The sequence below is a fragment of the Homo sapiens genome, chromosome 16, assembly GCF_000001405.40.
Source record: "Homo sapiens chromosome 16, GRCh38.p14 Primary Assembly".
NCBI lineage: Eukaryota > Metazoa > Chordata > Mammalia > Primates > Hominidae > Homo > Homo sapiens.
This window is the reverse complement of record NC_000016.10, coordinates 34,169,848-34,191,802: the sequence shown is the minus strand read 5'-3', so window position 1 is coordinate 34,191,802 and position 21,955 is coordinate 34,169,848. Positions and strand designations below refer to the sequence as shown.

At 35.8% G+C, this 21,955-nt stretch overlaps 4 annotated features.

Moving 5' to 3' along the window:
• Window positions 10,048-10,675: an enhancer, noted in NCBI's record as "OCT4-NANOG hESC enhancer chr16:33983595-33984222 (GRCh37/hg19 assembly coordinates)". NCBI's record gives its function as "activates a minimal SCP1, AML or CMV promoter by ChIP-STARR-seq in naive H9 embryonic stem cells {active_cell/tissue: H9 hESC(naive)}" and the evidence as "EXISTENCE:reporter gene assay evidence [ECO:0000049][PMID:30033119]".
• Window positions 17,903-18,702: an enhancer, noted in NCBI's record as "OCT4-NANOG-H3K27ac hESC enhancer chr16:33975568-33976367 (GRCh37/hg19 assembly coordinates)". NCBI's record gives its function as "activates a minimal SCP1, AML or CMV promoter by ChIP-STARR-seq in naive H9 embryonic stem cells {active_cell/tissue: H9 hESC(naive)}" and the evidence as "EXISTENCE:reporter gene assay evidence [ECO:0000049][PMID:30033119]".
• Window positions 18,703-19,501: an enhancer, noted in NCBI's record as "OCT4-NANOG-H3K27ac-H3K4me1 hESC enhancer chr16:33974769-33975567 (GRCh37/hg19 assembly coordinates)". NCBI's record gives its function as "activates a minimal SCP1, AML or CMV promoter by ChIP-STARR-seq in naive H9 embryonic stem cells {active_cell/tissue: H9 hESC(naive)}" and the evidence as "EXISTENCE:reporter gene assay evidence [ECO:0000049][PMID:30033119]".
• Window positions 19,502-20,302: an enhancer, noted in NCBI's record as "OCT4-NANOG-H3K27ac-H3K4me1 hESC enhancer chr16:33973968-33974768 (GRCh37/hg19 assembly coordinates)". NCBI's record gives its function as "activates a minimal SCP1, AML or CMV promoter by ChIP-STARR-seq in naive H9 embryonic stem cells {active_cell/tissue: H9 hESC(naive)}" and the evidence as "EXISTENCE:reporter gene assay evidence [ECO:0000049][PMID:30033119]".

Genomic DNA, 21,955 nt, shown 5'->3' with positions numbered 1-21,955 from the left:
TCTGCAATTGGATATTTGGAGTGCTTTGAGTCCTGTGGTGGAAACGGAAATATCTTTCCATAAAAAACTAGACAGAAGCATTCTGGGAAACTTCTTTTTGATGTGTGCATTCATCTCACAGAGTTGAACCGTTCTTTAGATTGAGCAGTTTTCAATCAGTCATTTTGTAGAATCTGCAAAGGGATATTTCTGAGCCCTTTTGTGGCCTCTAGGGAAACTAAAAGTAATTTCACATAAAAACAAGACAGGAACGTTCTGAGAAACTTCTCTGTGATGTGTGCCTTCTTCTTACAGAGCTGAAACTTACTTTTGATTGAGCAGTTTGGAAACAGTCTTTTTGTAGAATCTGCAAATGGATATTTGGAGTGCTTTGCAGCCGCTGGTGGAAAAGGAAACATCTTCACATAAAAACTAGAGAGAAGCATTCTGAGAAACTTCTTTGAGATGTGTGCATTCAGCACACAGAGTTGGACCTATCTTTTTATTGAGCAGTTTGGAAACTTTCTTTTTGTAGCATCTACAAATGTATATTAGGAGCACTTAGAGGCCTATATTTGAAAAGGAAATATCTTCACATAAAATCTTGACAGAAGCATTCTGAGAAACTTCGTGATGTTTGCATTCATCTGGAAGAGTTGAACTACTCTTTTTATTGACCAGTTTGGAAACAGTCTTTTTGTAGTATCTGCATGTGGATATTTGGAGCACTTTGCAGCCTATGGTGGAAAAGGAAATATCTTCACATAAAAACTAGATGGAAGCATTCTGAGAAACTTCTTTGTGATGTGTGCATTCATCTCACAGTGTTGAAATTTCTTTTCATTAAACAGTTTTGAAACACTCTTTTTGTAGAATCTTCAAGTGGATATTTGCAGAGCTTTGTGGCCTAAAGTGGAAAAGGTAATATATTCACATAAAACCTAGACAGAATCATTCTGAGAAACTTCTTTGTGACGTGTGCATTCAACTCACAGAGTTAAACCTTTTTTTGGATTGAGCAGTTTTGAAACACACTTTTTGTAGAATCTGCAATGGATATTTGAGTGCTTTGAGGCCTAAGGTGAAAAAGGAACTATCTTCACTTAAAAACTAGACAGAAGCATTCTGAGAAAATTCTTTGTGATATGTGCATTCAACTCACAGAGTTGAACCTTTCTATTGATTGAGCAGTTTGGAAAAAGGCTTTTTGTAGAATCTGCAATTGAATTCTTGGAGCGCTTTGAGGCCTATGGTGGAAAAGGAAATAACTTCACATAAAAACCACAGAGAATTCTGAGAAACTTCTTTGTGATGTATGTATTCAACTCTCAGAGTTGAAACTTTCTTTTGATTGAGCAGTTTGGAAACAGTGTTTCTCTAGTATCTGCAAATGTATATTTGGAGTGCTTTGAGGCTCATGGTGGAAAAGGAAATATCTTCACATAAGAACTACAGAGAAGCATTCTGAAAAACTTCTTTGTGATATGTGCATTGACCTCACATAGTTAAACCTTTCTTTTCATTGAGCAGTTTTGAAACCCTCTTTTTATAGAATCTTCAAGTGGATATTTGGAGCACTTTGTGGCCTCTACTGGAAACGGAAATAGCTTCACATAAAAACTAGACAGAAGCATTCTGAGAAACTTCTTTTTGATGGGTGCATTCATCTCACTGAATTGAACGTTTCTTTTGACTCAGCAATTTTGAAACACTCTTTTTGTAGAATCTGCAATTGTATATTTTAGTGCTTTGAGGGCTACGTTCAAAAGGAAATATCTTCACATAAAAACTACACAGAAGCATTCTGAGAAACTTCATTGTGATGTGTGCATTCCTATCACAGAATTGAACTTTTCTTTTGATTGAGAAGTTTTGAAACACTCTTTTTGTAGAATCTGCAAGTGGATATTTGGAATGATTTGAGGCCTATGGTGGAAAAGGAAATACCTTAACATAAAAATTAGACAAAATCTTTCTGAGAAACTTCTTTGTGATGTTTGCATTCATCTCACAGAGTTGAACCTTTGTTTTGATTCAGCAGTTTTGAAACACTCTTTTTGTACAATCTGCAAGTGGATATTTGGAGCGATTGTTGGACTACGATGGAAAAGGAAATATCTTCACATAAAAACTAGACAGAAGGATTCTGAGAAACTTCTTTGTTATGTGTGCATTCAACTCACAGAGTTGAACACCTGTTTTGTTTGAGCAGTTTGGGAATAGTCTTATTGTGGTATCTGCAATTCGATATTTGGAGTGTTTTAAGGCCTATGGTGGAAAAGGAACCATCTTCATATAAAAATTAGACAGAAGCATTCTGAGAAACTTCTTTGTGATGTGTGCATTACCTCAAAGAGTTGAACATTTCTTTTGATTGAGCAGTTTTGATACACTCTTGTTGTAGTATCTGCAAGTGGATATTTTGGCACTTGGCAGCCTCTAGTGGAAAAGGAAATATCTTCACATAAAAACTAGACAGAAGCATTCTGAGAAACTTCTTTGTGATGTATGCATTCACCTAACAGAGTTGAACCTTTCTTTTGATTGAGGAGTTTTGAAACATACTTTTTGTAGAATCTGCAAGTGGATATTTGGTGCGCTTTGGGGCCTATGGTGGAAAAGGGAATATCTTCACATAAAATCTAGACAGAAACAATCTGAGAAACTTATTTGTGCTGTGTGCACTCAACTCACAGAGTTGAAACTTTCTTTTGTTTGAGCAGTTTTTAAACACTCTTTTTGTAGAATCTGAAATTGGATATCTGGAGTGCTTTGTGGACTCTAGTGGAAAAGGAAATATCTTCACATAAAAACTCGACAGAAGCATTCTGAGAAACTGCTTTGTGATGTGTGCATTCATCTCACAGTGTTGAGCCTTTCTTTTGATTGAGCATTTTTGAAATACTCTTTTTGTAGAATCTGCAAGTGGATATTTGTGTCGCTTTTAGCCCAATGTTGGAAAAGGAAATATCTCCACATAAAAACGAGACAGAAGCCTTCTGAGAAACTTCTTTGTGATGTGTGCATTGAACTCACAGACTTGAACCTTTCTTTTGATTGAGCAGTTTTGAAACTGTCTGTTTGCAGGATCTGCAATTGCATATATGGAGCGCTTTGCGGCCTAGAGTGGAAAAGGAAATATCTTCACATAAAAACTAGATAGAAGCATTCTGAGAAACTTCTTTGTGATGTGTGCATTCATCTCACTGAGTTCCAACTTTCTTTTGATTGACCAGTTTTGAAATCCTCTTTTTGTAGAATCTGCAAGTGAATATTTGAGGTGATTTGATGCCTATGTTGGGAAAGGAAATATCTTCATATATAAACTAGACAGAAGCATTCTGAGAAAATTCTTAGTGATGTGTGTATTCATCTGAGAGAGTTGAACCACACTTTTGATTGAGCAGTTTGGAAACAGTCTTTTTGTCGTATCTGCTTGTGGATATTTGGAGCACTTTGATGCCTATGGTGGAAAAGGAAATACCTTAACATAAAAATTAGACAGAAGCATTATGAGAAACTTCTTTGTGATGTTTGCATTCATCTCACAGAGTTCAACCTTTCCTTTGATTGAGCAGTTTGGAAACACTCTTTTTGTAGAATCTGCAAGTGGATATTTGGAATGCTGTGAGGCCTATGGTGGGAAAGGAAGTATCTTCACAGAACAACTGTGAAGCAGGTTTCCTAAAAACAGCCTTGTGATGTGTGCATTCATCTCACAGAAGTAAGCATTTCTTTTCTTTGATCAGGCTGGGAACTCTGTTCTTGTACAATCTGAAAAGGGTTATTTTTGATCACTTTGAGGCCTATGTTGCCAAAGGAAATATCTTCACCTACAAAGTATAAGGAAAGTTTCTGAAATACTTCTTTGTGATATGTGCATTCATCTCACAGTTTTGAACCTCTCTTTTGATTCAGCAGTTTGGAAACAGTATTTTTGCAGAATCTGCAAACGGATATTTGTGAGCACTTTGAGGCCTATGCAGAAAAAGTGGTATCTTCACAGAAAACTATAAAGAAGTTTTCTGAGAAACAGTTTTGTGATGTCTGTGTTCATCTCACAGAGGTAAACGATTCTTTTCTTTGATCATTTGGGAAACTCTGTTGTTTTAGAATCTGCTAAGGGGTATTTGTGAGTGCATAGAGCCCTATGGTGAAAAAGGAATTGTCTTCACATAAAAACTAGACAGAAGCATTCTGAGAAACTTCTTTGTGATGTATGCATTCACCTAACAGAGTTGAACCTTTCTTTTGATTGAGGAGTTTTGAAACATACTTTTTGTAGAATCTGCAAGTGGATATTTGGTGCGCTTTGGGGCCTATGGTGGAAAAGGGAATATCTTCACATAAAATCTAGACAGAAACAATCTGAGAAACTTATTTGTGCTGTGTGCACTCAACTCACAGAGTTGAAACTTTCTTTTGTTTGAGCAGTTTTTAAACACTCTTTTTGTAGAATCTGAAATTGGATATCTGGAGTGCTTTGTGGACTCTAGTGGAAAAGGAAATATCTTCACATAAAAACTCGACAGAAGCATTCTGAGAAACTGCTTTGTGATGTGTGCATTCATCTCACAGTGTTGAGCCTTTCTTTTGATTGAGCATTTTTGAAATACTCTTTTTGTAGAATCTGCAAGTGGATATTTGTGTCGCTTTTAGCCCAATGTTGGAAAAGGAAATATCTCCACATAAAAACGAGACAGAAGCCTTCTGAGAAACTTCTTTGTGATGTGTGCATTGAACTCACAGACTTGAACCTTTCTTTTGATTGAGCAGTTTTGAAACTGTCTGTTTGCAGGATCTGCAATTGCATATATGGAGCGCTTTGCGGCCTAGAGTGGAAAAGGAAATATCTTCACATAAAAACTAGATAGAAGCATTCTGAGAAACTTCTTTGTGATGTGTGCATTCATCTCACTGAGTTCCAACTTTCTTTTGATTGACCAGTTTTGAAATCCTCTTTTTGTAGAATCTGCAAGTGAATATTTGAGGTGATTTGATGCCTATGTTGGGAAAGGAAATATCTTCATATATAAACTAGACAGAAGCATTCTGAGAAAATTCTTAGTGATGTGTGTATTCATCTGAGAGAGTTGAACCACACTTTTGATTGAGCAGTTTGGAAACAGTCTTTTTGTCGTATCTGCTTGTGGATATTTGGAGCACTTTGATGCCTATGGTGGAAAAGGAAATACCTTAACATAAAAATTAGACAGAAGCATTATGAGAAACTTCTTTGTGATGTTTGCATTCATCTCACAGAGTTCAACCTTTCCTTTGATTGAGCAGTTTGGAAACACTCTTTTTGTAGAATCTGCAAGTGGATATTTGGAATGCTGTGAGGCCTATGGTGGGAAAGGAAGTATCTTCACAGAACAACTGTGAAGCAGGTTTCCTAAAAACAGCCTTGTGATGTGTGCATTCATCTCACAGAAGTAAGCATTTCTTTTCTTTGATCAGGCTGGGAACTCTGTTCTTGTACAATCTGAAAAGGGTTATTTTTGATCACTTTGAGGCCTATGTTGCCAAAGGAAATATCTTCACCTACAAAGTATAAGGAAAGTTTCTGAAATACTTCTTTGTGATATGTGCATTCATCTCACAGTTTTGAACCTCTCTTTTGATTCAGCAGTTTGGAAACAGTATTTTTGCAGAATCTGCAAACGGATATTTGTGAGCACTTTGAGGCCTATGCAGAAAAAGTGGTATCTTCACAGAAAACTATAAAGAAGTTTTCTGAGAAACAGTTTTGTGATGTCTGTGTTCATCTCACAGAGGTAAACGATTCTTTTCTTTGATCATTTGGGAAACTCTGTTGTTTTAGAATCTGCTAAGGGGTATTTGTGAGTGCATAGAGCCCTATGGTGAAAAAGGAATTGTCTTCACATAAAAACTAGACAGAAGCATACTGAGAAACTTCTTGGTGATGTGTGCATTTATCTCACAAAATTGAAACTTTCTTTTGATTGAGCAGTTTGGAAATGTCTTTTTGTGGAATCTGTAAAGGGATATTTCTGAGCACTTTGAGGCCTATGGTGAAAGAGAAAATATCTTCACATAAAAACTAGACTAAAGAATTCTGAGAAACTGCTTTGTGATGTATGCATTCATCTCACAGAGTTCAACAATTCTTTTGATTGAGCAGTTGGGAAACTGTCTTTTTGTAGAATCTGCAAAGGTATATTTGTGAGTGCTTTGAGTTCTATGGTTAAAAGGTAATATCTTCACATAAAAACTATAAAGAAGGTTTGTGAGAAACTTCTTTGTGATGTGTGCATTCATCTCATAGAGTTGAACCATTCCTTTCACTCAGCAGTTTGAAAACAGTCTTTTTTTGGGATCTGCAAAGGGATATTTTTGAGCACTTTGAGGCCCATGGTGAAAAAGGAAACACATTCACATAAAAACAAGATAGAAGCTTTCTGAGAAACATCTTTTTGATATATGCATTCATCATTCATCCCACAGAGATGAACCTTTCTTTTGATGAGCAATTTGGAAACAGTATTTTGCAGAATTTCCAAAGGGTTATTAGTTAACGCTTTGTGTCCTGTGTTGAAAAAGGAATTATCTTTACATAAATACTAGACAGAATATTTCTGAGAAACTGCTTTGCGATGTGTGCTTTCATCTCACAGAGGTAACAATTTCTCTCCTTTGAGCAGATTGGAAATTCTGTTCTTGTAAAATCTGCAAAAGGATATTTGTCAGTGCTTTGAGGTGTATGGTGAAAAAGGAATCATCTTCAAGTAAAAACTAGACAGAAGCTTTCTGTGAAACATCTTGGAGATGTGAGAACTCATCTCACAGAGTTGAAACATTCTTTTGATTGAGCAGTTTGTAAACAGTATTTTGGTAGGTAGAATCTGCAAAGGAATATTTGTGATGCTTTGAAGCCTATGGTGGAAAAGGAAATATTTTCACATGAAAACTAGAGAGAAGTTTTCTGAGAAACCTCCTTGTGTTGTGTGCATTCATCTCACAGATTTGAACCTCTTTTTGGATTGAGCAATTTGGATACGGTATTTCTGTAGAATCTGTAAAGGCATATTTTTGAGAGCTATGAGACCTATGATGAAATAGGAAATATCTTCACATAAAAACTAGACAGAAGCTTTCTGAGAAACTTCTTTGTGATGTGTGTATTCATCTCACAGAGTTCAACCATTCTTTTGATTGAACAGTTTGGAAACAGTCTTTTTGTAGAATCTGCAAAGGGATATTTATGAGTGCTTTGAGACCTATGGTGAAAAAGGAAATATATTCACATAAAAAGTATAAACAAGGTTTCTCAGAAACAGCTTTGTGATATATGCATTCATCTCACAGAGGTAAACGTTTCTTTTCTCTGGTCAGTCTGGAAACTGTTCTTGTAGAGTCTGCAAAGGGATATTTGTGAGTGCTTTGAGGCCTATGGTGAAAAAGGAAATATCTTCACATAAAAATTAGAGAGAGGCTTTCTGAGAAATCTCTATGTGATGTGGGCATTCATCTCACAAAGATGAAACTTACTTTTGATTGAGCAGTATGAAAACGGTCTGTTTGTGGAATCTGCAAGGGATATTTGTCAGAACTTTGAGTGCTATGGTGAAAAAAGAAATATCTTCACATAAAAAATGGACAGAAGATTTCTGAGAAACCTCTTTGTAATGTGTGCATCCGTCTCACAGAGTTTAAACATTTATTTGATTGAGCAGGTGGGAAGCAGTCTTTTTGCAGAATCTGCAAGGGAATATTGCTGAGCATTTTGAGGCCTATGGTGAAAAAGGAAATATCTTCACATAAAAACTATAAAGAAGGTTTCTGATAAACTTCTTTGGATGTATGCATTCATTTCATGGAGTTGAACTATTTTTTTGATTGAGCAGTTTGGAAACAATCTTTTTGTAGAATCTGCAAAGGGATATTTTTGAGTGCTTTTTGTCCTAGGGAGAAAAAAGAAATATCATCACATAAAAAGTATAAAGAAGGTTTCTGAGAAACAGTTTTGTGATGTGTGTATTCATCTCACAGAGAAAGACGTTTGTTTTCTTTGATCAGTCTGGACATTCTGTTCTTGTAGAATCTGCTAAGGGATATTTGTGAACAGATGGAGGCCTATGGTGAAAAAGGAAATGTCTTCATATAAAAATTAGACAGAAGCTTCCTGTGAAACTTCTCAGTGATGTGTGCATTCATCTCACAAACTTGAAACTTTCTTTTCATTGAGCCGTTTGGAAACAGTCTTTTTGTAGAACCTGCAAATGGATATTTGGAGCACTTTGAGGCCTATGGTGAAAAAGGAAATATATTCACATAAAAACCAGACTGAAGGTTTCTGAGAAACTTCTTTGAGATGTGTGCATTCATCTCACAAAGTTCAATAATTCTTTTTATTGAGTGGTTTGGAAGCAGTGTTTTTGTAGAATCTGCAAAGCGATATTTGTGAGGGCTTTGAGGCCTATGGTGAAAAAGGAAATATCTTCACAGAAAAACTATAAAGAAAGTTTCTGAGAAACTTCTTTGTGATGTGTGCATTCATCTCACACAGTTCAACCTTTTGTTTTTGGTTGAGCGGTTTGGAAACAGTCTTTTTAAATATTCCTCAACTGGATATTTGTGAGCACTTTGAGGCTCATGGTGAAAAAGGAAACATTCACATGAAAACTTAATAGAAGCTTTCTGAGAAACTTCTTTTTGACACATGCATTCATCTCACAGATGCGAACCTTTCCTTTGATGAGCAGTGTGGAAACAATGTTTTTGTAGATTCTGCAAAGCAACAATTTTGAGCGCTTTGCATCCTGTGGTGAAAAAGGAGATACCTTCACATAAAAACTAGACAGAATGTTTCTCAGAAACTGCTTTGTCATATGTTCATTCATCTCCCAGATGTGTCTCTTTTCATTGAGAAGATTGGAAACTCTTTTCTTGTAAAATCTGCAAAGGGATATTTGTGAGCCCTTTGAGGCGTATGGTGAAGAAGGAAATATCTTCACATAAAAACTACACAGAAGCTTTCTGAGAAACATCCTGGTGATGTGAGCATTCACGTCACAGAGTTGAAATATTCTTTTGATTGAGCAATGTGTAAAGAGTCTTTTTGTAGAATCTGCAAAGGGATATTTGTGAACACTTGGAGGCCTATGGTCAAAAAGGAAATATCTTCACATAAAAACTAGAGAGAAGCTTTCTGAGAAACCTCTTTGTGGTGTGCATACATCTCACAGAGTTGAACCTTTCTTTTGATTGAGCAATTTGGAAAAAGTATTTTTGTAGAATCTGTAAAGGGATATTTGTGAGCACTTTGAGGCCTATGGTGAAAAAGCAAGTATCTTCACATAAAATCTAGACAGAAGCATTCTGAGAAACTTTTTCATGATGTGTGCATTCATCACACAGAGTTGAACCTTTGTTTTGATTGAGCCATTTGGAAACAGTCTTTTTGTAAAATCTGCAAATGGATATTTGGAGTGCTTTGAGGCCTTAAAAGGAAATATATTCATATAAAAATCAGACTGAAGGATTCTGAGAAACTTCTTTGAGCTGTGTGCATTCATCTCACAGTGGTCAATAATTATTTTTATTGAGCGGTTTGGAAACAGTCTTTTTGTAGAATCTGCAAAGGGATATTTGTGAGGGCTTTGAGGCCTATGGTGAAAAAGGAAATATCTTCACAGAAAAACCATAAAGAAAGTTTCTGAGAAACTTCTTTGTGGTGTGTGCATTCATCTCACAGAGTTGAAACATTCTTTGGATTGAGCAGTTTGCAAACAGTCTTTTTGTAGAATCTGCAGAGGGATATTTGTAGTGCTTTGAGGCCTATGGTGAATAAGGAATTAACTTCACATAAAAACTAGAAAAAAGTATTCTGAGAAACTTTTTGTGATGTGTGCATTTATCTCATAGAGTTTAACATTTCTTTTGATTGAGCAGTTTGGAAACAGTCTTTTTGTACAATCTGCAAAGGGATATTTAGGAGTGCATTGAGGCCTATGGTGAAAAAGGAAATATCTTCACATAAAAACTAGAAAGAAGCATTCTGAGAAGCTGCTTTAAGATATGTGTATTCATCTCACAGAGGTAAACGTTTCTTTTCATTGAGCAGTTTGTAAACTCTGTTATTCTAGAGTTTGCAAAGGGATATTTTTGAGTGCTTTGAGACCCACATTGAAAAAGGAACTATCTTCACATAAAAACTAGTGAGAAGCTTGCTGAGAAACTACTTTCTGATGTGTGCATTCATCTCACAGAGTTGAAACTTTCTTTTGATTGAGCACTTTGGAAACAGTCTTTTTGTAGATTCTGCAAAGGTATATTTGAGAGTGAATTGAGGCCTATGTTAAAAAAGGAAATATCTTCACATAAACACGAGAAGGAAGTTTTCTGAGAAACTTCTTTGTGATGTGCACATTCGTCTCACAGGGTTGAACCATTCTGTTTATTGAGCAGTTTGGAAACAGTCTTTTTGTAGAATCTGCAAAGGGATATCTGGGAGTGTGTTGAGGCATATGGTGAAAAAGGAAATATCTTCACATTAAAAGTAGAAAGAAGTTTTCTGAGTAACTCCTTTGTGACGTGTGCATTCATCACACTCAAGTAAAAGTTTCTTCCCATTGAACAGTTAGTTTTTATGTGAAGATATTTCCATTTTCACGATAGACCTCAAACCACCCACATATATCCCTTTGCAGATTCTACAAAAAGACTATTTCCAACCTGCTCAATCAAAGAAAGCTTCCACGCTGTGAGATGAATGCACACATTACAGAGAATTTTCCCAGAAAGTTTCTGTCTAGTTTTTATTTGCTGATACTCTTTTTTTCACCATAGGCCTCAAACCACTCATAAATAACCCTTTGCAGATTCTACAAAAAGAGTGTTTCCAAACTACTCAATCAAAAGAAAGGGTCAACTCTGTGAGGTGAATGCACACATCACAAAGAAGTTTCTCAGAAAGCTTCTGTCTAGTTTTTATTTGAAGATGCTTCCTTTTTCAATATAGGCCTCAAAGTGCTCACAAATGTCCCTTTACAGATTTTACAAAAAGACTGTTCCCAAACTGCTCAACTGAAACAAAGCTTCAACTCTTTGAGATGAATGCACACATCACAAAGAAGTTTCTAGAAAGCTTCCATCCAGTTTTTATGTGAAGATATTTCCTTTTTCACCGTAAGTCTCAAAGCATTCAAATTATCAACTTGCAGATTCTACAAAAAGGCATTTTCCAACCTGCTCTATCTAAAGAAAGGTTCAACTCTGTGAGAAGAATGAACAGATCAAAAAGAAGTTTCTCAGAATGCTTCTGTCTAGTTTTTATGTGAAGACATTTCCTTTTTCACCATAGGCCAAAAAGGGATCTCAAATATCCCTTTGTACATTCTACAAAGGACTGTTTCCAAACTGCTTAATCCAAAGACAGGTTCAACTCTTTGGGATGAATGCACACATCACAACGAAGTTTCTCAGAAACTTCTGTCTAGTTTTTGTGTGAAGATATTTCTTTTTTCACCATAGGCTTCAAAGGGCTCACAAATATCACAAAGCAGATTCTACAAAAAGACTCTATCCAAGCTGGTCAATGAAAAGAACACTTCAAATCTGTGAGATGAATGAGCACATCTCAAAGAATTTTCTCAGAAACCTTCTGTCTAGTTTTTATGTGAAGATATTTCCGTTTTCATGATAGACCTGAAACTGCCTACATATATCCCTTTGCAGATTCTACAAAAAGACTGTTTCCAAACTGCTCAATCAAAGAAAGTTTTTACTCTGTGAGATGGATGCACACATCAGAGAGAAGTTTCTCAGAAAGTTTCTGTCTAGGTTTTATTTGTTGATACTCCGTTTTTCACCGTAGGCCTCAAACTGCTCATAAATAACCGTTTTCAGATTCTACTAAAGGACAGTTTCCAAACTGCTCAATCAAACGAAAGTTCAGCTGTGTGAGATGAAAGTGCATATCACAAAGAAGTTTCTCAGAAGGTTTCTGTCTAGTTTTTATGTGAAGATACTTCTTTTTCACCATGAGCCTCAAAGCGTTCACAAATTTTCCTTTGCAGATTCTATGAAAAGACTGTTTCCAAACTGCTCAATCAAAAGAAAGGTTCAATTCTGTGTGATGAACACACACATCACAAAGAAGTTTCTCAGAAGGGTTCTGTCTAGATTTTATTTGTGGAGATTTCCTTTTTCACAATAGGCCTCAAAAAGCTCACAAATATCCCTTTGCATATTCTACAAAAAGACTGTTTCCAAACTGCTCAATGAAAGAAAATTCAACTCTGTGAGATGAATGCACACATCACAAAGTGATTTATCATAATGTTTCTGTCTAGTTTTTATATGAAGATATTTCCTTTTTCACCACATGCCTCACACCACTCAAAAACATCCCTTTGCAGATTCTCCAAAAAGAGTGTTTCCAAACTGCTCAATCAAAACAAAGATTCAACTCTTTGAGATGCATACACCCATCACAAAGAAGTTTCCCAGAAAACATGAGTCTAGTTTTTATGTGAAGATATTTCCTTTTTCACCATAAGCCTCAAACAGTTCACAAATATCACTTTGCATGTTCTATGAAAAGACTGTTTCCAAACTGCTCAATCAAAAGAAAGTTTCAACCCTGTGAGATGAATGCACACATCACAAAGAAGTTTTTCAGAAAGCTGCTGTCTACATTTTATTTTTTGATATCTCCTTTTTCACCATAGGACTCAAACCGCTGAAACATATCACTTTACAGATTCTACAAAAAGACTGTTTCCAAACTGCCCAATCAAAAGAAAGGTTCAACTCTGTGAGATAAATGCACACATCACAAAGAAGTTTCATAGATAGCTCTTATTATTTTGAGATACGTCCCATCAATACCTAAGTTATTGAGAGTTTTTAGCATGAAGGTTGTTGAATTTTGTCAAAGGCCTTTTCTGCACCTATTGAGATAATTGTGTGGTTTTTGTCTTTGGTTCTGTGTATATGCTGGATTACATTTATTGATTTGTGTATATTGAACCAGTCTTGCCTCCCAGGGATGAAGCCCACTTGTTCATGGTGGATAATCTTTTTGATGTGCTGCTGGATTCAGCTTGCCAGTATTTTATCGAGGATTTTTGCATCAATGATCATCAAGGATATTGGTCTAAAATTCTCTTTTTTGGTTGTGTCTCTGCCAGCTTTAGTATCAGGATGATGCTGGCCTCATAAAATGAGTTAGGGAGGATTCCCTCTTTTTCTATTGATTGCAATAGTTTCAGAAGGAATGGTACCAGTTCCTCCTTTTACCTCTGGTAGAATTTGGCTGTGAATCCATCTGATCCTGGACTCTTTTTGGTTGGTAAGCTATTGATTATTGCCTCAATTTCAGAGCCTGTTATTTGTCTATTCAGAGATTCAACTTCTTCCTGGTTTAGTCTTGGGAGGGTGTATGTGTCAAAGAATTTATCCATTCCTTCTAGATTTTCTAGTTTATTTGCATAGAGGTGTTTGTAGTATTCTCTGATGGTAGTTTGAATTTCTGTGGGATAGGTGGTGATGTACCCTTTATCATTTTTTATTGCATCTATTTGATTCTTCTCTCTTTTCTTCTTTATTAGTCTTGCTAGTGGTCTATCAATTTTGTTGATCCTTTCAAAAAACCAGCTCCTGGATTCATTACTTTTTTGAAGAGTTTTTTGTGTCTCTATTTCCTTCAGTTCTGCTCTGATTTTAGTTATTTCTTGCCTTCTGCTAGTTTTTTAATGTGCTTGCTCTTGCTTTTCTAGTTCTTTTAATTGTGATGTTAGTGTGTCAATTTTGGATCTTTCCTGCTTTCTCTTGTGGGCATTTAGTGCTATAAATTTCCCTCTACACACTGCTTTGAATGTGTCCCAGAGATTCTGTTATGTTGTGTCTTTGTTCTCATTGGTTTCATGCTGCTATAAAGACACATGCACACGTATGTTTATTGTGGCACTATTCACAATAGCAAAGACTTGGAACCAACCCAAATGTCCAACAATGATAGACTGGATTAAGAAAATGTGGCACATATACACTATGGAATACTATGCAGCCATAGAAAATGATGAGTTCATGTCCTTTGTAGGGACATGGATGAAATTGGAAATCATCATTCTCAGTAAACTATCGCAAGGACAAAAAACCAAACACCGCATGTTCTCACTCATAGTTGGGAATTGAATAATGAGAACACATGGACACAGGAAGGGGAACATCACACTCTGGGGACAGTTGTGGGGTGAGGGGAGGGGGGAGGGATAGCATTAGGAGACATACCTAATGCTAAATGACGCGTTAATGGGTGCAGCACACCAGCATGGCACATGTATACATATGTAAGTAACCTGCACATTGTGCACATGTACCCTTAAACTTAAAGTATAATAATAATAAAATAAAATAAAATAAAAAGAAAGTGCACATCACAAAGAACTTTCTCAGAAAGTTTCTTTCTAGTTTTTATGTGAAGATATTTCCTTTTTCACCATAGTCTACAAAGTGCACAAAATATCTTTTGTAGATTGTACAAAAAGACTTTTTCCAAACTGCTCAATCAAAAGAAAGGTTCTACTCTGTGAGATGAAAACACAAATGACAAAGAAGTTACTCAGAATGCTTCCATCTAGTTTTTAAGTGAAGGTATTTCCTGTTTCACCATGGGCCTCAAAGGGCTCACAAATATCCTTTTTGCAGATTCTACAAAGAGACTGTTACAGAACTGCTCAATGAAAAGTAAGTTTCAACTCTGTGAGATGAATGCACACCTAAAAAAGAAGTTTCTCAGAATGCTTCTGTCTAGTTTTTATGTGAAGATATTTCTTTGTTACCATAGGCCTCAAACTGCTCAGAAATATCCCTATGCAGATGTTACAAAAAGACTGTTTCCAAACTGCTCAATGAAAAGAAAGATTCTACTCTGTGAGATGAAAGCACACACACAAAGAATTTTCTCAAAAAGTTTTTTTCTAGCTTATATGTGAAGATATTTCCTCTTTCACCATAGGCCTCAATGGGCTCAAAAATATCTCTTCTCAGATACTACAAAAGGCCTCTTTTCAAAGTGCTCAATCAAAAGAAAGTTTCAACTCTGTGAGATGAAAGCACACATAACAAATAAGTTTCTCAGAATGTTTGTCTAGTTTTTATGTGAAGATATTTCCTATTTCACCATAGGCCATAAAGGGCTCACAAATATCCCTTTGCAGACTCTACAGAAAGAGTATTTCCAATCAGCTCAATCAAAACAAAGGTTCAACTCTGTGAGATGAATGGACACATCACAAAGAAGTTTCTCAGAAAGCTTCTGTCTGGTTTATGTGTAAAGATATGTCTTTTTCACCATAGGCCTCAAATGACTAAAAAATATCCCTTTGCAGATTGAACAAAAAGACTTTTCCAAATTGCTCAATGAAAAGACAGGTTCAACTTTGTGAGATGCATGTGCACATCATAAAGAAGTTTGTCAGAATGCTTCTGTCTAGTTTTTATGTGAAGATATTTCCTTTTTCACCATAGGCCTTAAACCACTCCCAAATATCCCTCTGCAGATACTACAAAAAGACTGCTTGAAAAGTGTTCTATCAAAGGAAACTTTCGTCTCTGTGAGATGAATGCACACATCACAAAGAACTTTCTCAGAATGCTTCTGTCTAGTTTTTATGTGAAGATATTTCCTTTTTCACCACAGGCCTCAAAGTGCTCCAAATATCCATTTGCAGATTGTAGAAAAAGACTGTTTCCAAACAGCTACATGCAAAGAAGGGTTCAACTCTGTGAGATAAATGCACACATGAAAAAGAAGTTTCTCAGAATGCTTCTGTCTAGTTTTATCTGACATATATATTTTTCACCATAGGCCTCAAACCGTTCAGAAATATCCCTTTGCATATTGTACAAAAAGACTGTTTCCAAACTGTCAAATGAAAAGAAAGGTTCCACTCTGTGAGATGAATGCAAACATCACAAAGAAGTTTCTCAGAAAGTTTCTGTCTAGTTTTTATGTGAAGATATTTCCTTCTTCACAATAGGCCTCAAAGCGTTCCAAATATCCATTTGCAGATTCCACAAAAAGACTGTTTCCAAACTGCTCAACCAAAAAAAGGTTCAACTCTGTGAGATGAATGCACCCATCACAAAGAAGTTTTTCAGAAAGCTTCTGTTTAGTTTTTATGTGAAGATATTTCCTTTTTCACTATAGGCTTCAAAGCACTCCACACATCCATTTGCAGATTCTACAAAAGAGTGTTTCCAAACTGCTCAATCAAAAGTAATGTTCAACTCTGTGAGATGAAAGGACACATCACAAAAGTTCCTCATAATGCTTCTGTCTAGTTTTTATGTGAAGATATTTCATATTTCACCATAGGCCTGAAAGAGTTCACAAATATCCCTTTGTGGACTCTACAAAAAGATTGTTTTTGAACTGCTCCATGCAAAGAAAAGTTCAACTCTGTGAGACGAATGCACACATAAAAAAGAAGTTTCTCAGAATGCTTCTGTCTAGTTTTTATGTGAAGATATTTCTTTTCCACCATAGGCAACAAACCGTTCAGAAATATCCCTTTGTAGATTGTACAAAAAAACTGTTTCCAAACTGCTCAATCAAAAGAAAGGTTCAAACCTGTGAGATGAAAGTACACATCACAAAGAAGTTTCTCAGAATGCTTCTGTCTAGTTTTTATATGAAGATATTTCTTTTTCACTGTAGGCCTCAAACCCCTCTGAAATATCCCTTTGCAGATTGTAGATAAAGACTGTTTCCTAACTGCTCCATCAAAAGAAAGGTTCAACTCTGTGAGATGAAAAAGCACACATCACAAAGAAATTTCTCAGAATCCTTCTGTCTAGTTTTTATGTGAAGATATTTCCCTTCTAATGATAGGCCTCAAAGTGATCCAAATATCGATTTACAGATTCTACAAAAGACTGTTTCCAAACTGCTCAATCAAAATAAATTTTCACCTCTGTGAGATGAAAGCACACATCACAAAGAAGTTCTTCAGAAAGTTTCTCACTAGATTTTATGTGAAGATATTTAGTTTTACACCACAAACCACAAAGCACTCCAAATATCCATTTGCAGATACTTCAAAAAGAGTTTTTCCAAACTGCTCAATCAAAAGAAAGTTTCAACTCTGTGAGATGAATGCAAAGATCACAAAGGAGTTTCTCAGAATGCTTCTGTCTAGTTTTACTGTGAAGATATTTCCCATTTCATCATGGGCCTCAGTGGGCTCACATATATCCTTTTGCAAATTCTACAAAAAGACTATTTCTGAATTTCTCAATGAAAAGAATGGTTTAACTCTGGAAGAAGAATGCACACATGAAAAAGAAGTTTCTCAGAATGCCTCTGTCTAGTTTTTATGTTAAGATATTTGTTTTTCACCTTAGGCCTCAAACCGCTCAGAAATATCCCTTTGCAGATTGTACAAAAAGATGGTTTCCAAACTGCTCAATGAAAACAAAAGTTCAACACTATGACATGAATATGCACATCACAGAGAAGTTTTTCAGAAAGCTTCTGTTTAGTTTTTAAGTGAAGATATTTCCTTTTTTCACCATAGGCCTCAAAGTGCTCCAATTATCCTTTTGCAGAATCTACAAAAAGAGAGTTTCCAAACTGTTCAATTAAAAGAAAGATTCAAATCTGTGAGAAGAAAGCACACATCACAAAGAAGTTTCTCACAATGCTTCTGTCTACTTTTTTTGTGAAGATATTTCCTATATCACCATAGGCCTCAAAGGTCTCACAAATATCCCTTTGCAGACTGTACAAAAACACAGTTTTTGAACTGCTCCATGAAAAGAAAGGTTCAGCTCTGTGAGATGAATGCACACATAATAAATTACTTTCTCATAACGCTTCTGTCTAGCTTTTATGTGAAGATATTTCTTTTTCACTATAGGCATCAAACCATTCAGAAATATCCCTTTGTAGATTGTACTAAAAGACTGTTTCCAAACTGCTCAATCAAAAGAAAGGTTCAAACCTGTGAGATGAATGCACACATAACAAAGAAGTTTCTCATAAATCTTCTGTCTTGTTTTTATGTGAAGATATTTCCTTTCTCAACATAGGCCTCAAAGCAATCCATTGGCAGATTCTACAAAAAAACTGTTTCCAAACTGATCAATCAGAACAAATTTTTAGATCTCTGAGATGAAAGCACACATCACAAAAAAGTTACTCAGACAGCTTCTCTCTAGTTTGTATGTGAAGATATTTCCTATTTCACCTGAGGCCATAAAGGGCTCACAAATATGCCTTTGAAGGTTCTACAAAAAGACTGTTTCCAAACTGCTTAATCAAAAGAAACGTTCAACTCTGTGAGATGAATGGACACATCAGAAAGAAATTTTTCGGACTGACTCTGTCTAGTTTTTACGTGAAGATATTTCTCTTTCACCATAGGCCTCAAATGTATCAGAATTATCCCTTTGCAGATTGTACAATAAGCCTCTTTCCAACCTGCTCAATCAAAAGAAAGGTTCAACTCTGTGAGATGAATGCACACATCACAAGGAAGTTTCTCAGAAAACTTCTATTTAGTTTCTATGTGAAGATATTTCATTTTCCACCATGGGCCTCAAAGCGCTCCAAATATCCATTTGCAGATTCTAGAAAAAGAGTGTTTCCAAACTCCTCAATTAAAAGAAAGTTTCAATTCTGTGAGATGAAAGCATACATCACAAACAAGTTTCTTAGAAAGCTTCTGTCTAGTTTTTATGTGAAGATATTTCACATTTCACCATAGTACTCAATGGGCTCAGAAATATCCCTTTGCAGATTCTACAAAAGGACTGTTTCCAAACTGCTCAATCCAAAGAAAGTTTCAACTCTGTGAGATGAATGCACACATCACAAAGAAGTTTCTCAGAATGCTTCTGTCTAGTTTATATGTGAAGAAAATTCCTATTTCACCATAGGCAATAAAGTGCTCACAAATATTTTTTGCAGATTCTACAAAAAGACTGTATCCAAACCGCTCTATAAAAAGAAAGTTTCAACTCTGTTAGATAATGGACACATCAAAAAGTAGTTTCTCAGAAAACTTCTGTTTAGTTTTTATGTGAAGATATTTCCTTTGTCACCATTGGCCTCAAAGCACTCCTAATATCCACTTACACATTTCACAAAAAGAGTGTTTCCAAACTGCTCAATCAAAAGAAAGGTTTAACTCTGTGAGATGAAAGCACACATCTCAAAGAAGTTTCTCAGAAAGCTTCGGTCTAGTTTTCATGTGAAGATATTTCCAGTTTCACCATAGGCCTCAAAGGGCTAAGAAATACCCCTTTGCAGATTCTAAAAGAGGACCATTTCCATACTGCTCAATCAGAAGAAAGGCTAAATTCTGTGAGGTGAATGCACACATTAGAATGAAGTTTCTCAGAATTATTCTGTCTAGTTTTTATGTGAAGATATTTACTATTTCACTATAGGCTTCAAATGGCTCACAAATATCCCTTTGCAGATTCTACAAAAATACCATTGCCGAACTTCTGAATGAAAAGAAACGTTCAATTCTGTCAAATGAATGGAGACATCACAAAGAAGTTCCTCAGAATCCTTCTGTCTAGTTTAAATGTGAAGATATTTCTTTTTCACCATAGACCTCAAATGGCTCAGAAATATACCTTTGCAGATTGCAGAAAAAGACTGTTTCTAAACTGCTCAAGCAAAATAAAGTTTCAACACTGTGAGATGAATGCACACATCACAAAGAGGTTTCTCAGAAAGCTTCTTTCTAGTTTTTATGTGAAGATATTTACTTTTTCACCATAGGCCTTAAACCGCTAACAAATATCCTTCTGCAGATACTAAAAAAATACTGTTTCCAAACTGCTCCATCAAAAGAAAAGTTCACCTCTCTGAGATGAATGCACACATCACAAAGAAGTTTCTCAGAATTCTTCTGTCTAGGTTTTATGTGAAGATATTTCCATTTTCACCTTAGGCCACAAAGTGCTCCAAATATCCATTTGCAGATTATACAAAAAGACTGTTTCCAAACTGCTCAATCAAAAAAAATCTTCAACTCTGTGAGATGAAAGCACACATCACAAAGAAGTTTCTCAGAAATCTTCTGTCTAGTTTTTATCTCAAGATAATTCCTATTTCACCATAGGAATCAATGGGCTTACAAATATCCCATTACAGATTCTACAAAAGTTCTGTTTCCAAACTGCTCAATCAAAAGAAAGGTTCAACATTGTGAGATGAATGCACACATCACAAAGAAGTTTCTCAGAATGCTTCTGTCTAGTTCTTAAGTGAAGATATTTTCTTTTTCACCATAGTCTTTAAACAGCTCAAAAATATCCCTCTGCAGATACTACAAAAAGACTATTTCCAAACTGGTCCATCAAAAAATGTTTCAACTCTGTGAGATGAATGGACTCATCACAAAGAAGTTTCTCAGAATTCTTCTGTCTAGTTTTTATGTGAAGATATTTCCTTTTTCACCATAGGCCTCAAATCTCTCCAAATATCCATTTGCAGATTCTACAAAAAGAATGTTTCCAAACTGGTCAATCAAAAGAAAGGCTCAACTCTGTGAGACGAAAGCACACATCACAAAGAAGTTTCTCAGAAAGCTTCTGTCTACTTTTTATGTGAAGGTATTTCCTTTTGCACCATAGGCCTTAAACCGCTCACAAATATAACTCCACTTTCGCCAAATTGCTAAATCAAAAGAAAGTTTCAGCTCTGTGATATGAATGCACACATCACAAAGAAGTTTCTCAGAAAGCTTCTGTTTAGTGTTTATCTGAAGATATTTCCTTTTTCACCATAGGCCTCAAAGCACTCCGAATATGCATTTCCAGATTCTATAAAAAGTCTGTTTCCAAACTGCTCAATGAAAAGAAAGGTTCGACTCTGTGAGATGAAAGCACATATCACAAAGAAGTTTCTCAGAATGTTTCTTTCTAGTTTTTTTGTGAAGATATTTCTTTTTTCACTATAGGCCTCAAAGCACTCCAAATATCCATTTGCAGATTATACAAAAAGACTGTTTACAAACGGCTCAATCAAAAGAAAGTTTCAACTCTGTGAGATGAATGCACGCATTACAAAGTAGTTTCTCAGAAAGCTTCTGTTTAGTTGTTATGTGAAGATATTTCCTTTTTCACCATAGGCCTCAAAATGCTCCAATTATCCATTTGCAGATTATGCAAAGAGTGTTTCCAAACTTCTCAGTCAAAAGAAACACTCAACTCTTTGAGATGAAAGCACCCATTGAAAAGAAGTTTCTCAGAAAGCTTCTGTCTAGCTTTTATGTGAAGGTATTTCCTATATCACCAAAGGCCTCAATGGGCTCAGAAATATCCCTTTGGGGATTCTACAATAGGACTGTTTCCAAACTGCTCTAGCAAAAGAAAGCTTCAACTCTGTGAGTTGAATGCACCCATCACAAAAAAGTTTCTCAGAATGTTTCTGTGTAGTTTTTATGTGAAGATATTTCCTACTTCACCATAGGCCTCAAAGGGTTCACAATTATCCCTTTGTAGATTTTACAAAAAGACTGTTTCCAAATCTTCAATAAAAGAAATGTTCAACTGTGTGAGATGGATGCCAACGTCACAAAGAAGTTTCTCAGAATGTTTCCGTCTAATTTTTTGTGATGATATTTCCTTTTTTACCATAGGCCTCAAAGTGCTCCAAATATCCATTTGCAGATTCTACAAAAAGAGTGTTTCCAAACTGCCCAATCAAATGTTCAACTATGTGAGATGGAAGCACACATCTCAAATAAGTTTCTTAGAAACCTTCTGTCTAGTTTTTATGTGAAGATATTTCCTTTTTCACCATAGGCCTCAAACTGCTCGCAAACATCCCTCTACAGATACTACAAAAAGACTGTTTCCAAAGTGTTCAATCAAAAGAAAGGTATAACTCTGTGTGATAAATGCACACGTCACCAAGAAGTTTCTCAGAATGCTTCTATCTAGTTTTTATGTGAAGATATTTCCATTCTCACCAAGGCCTCAA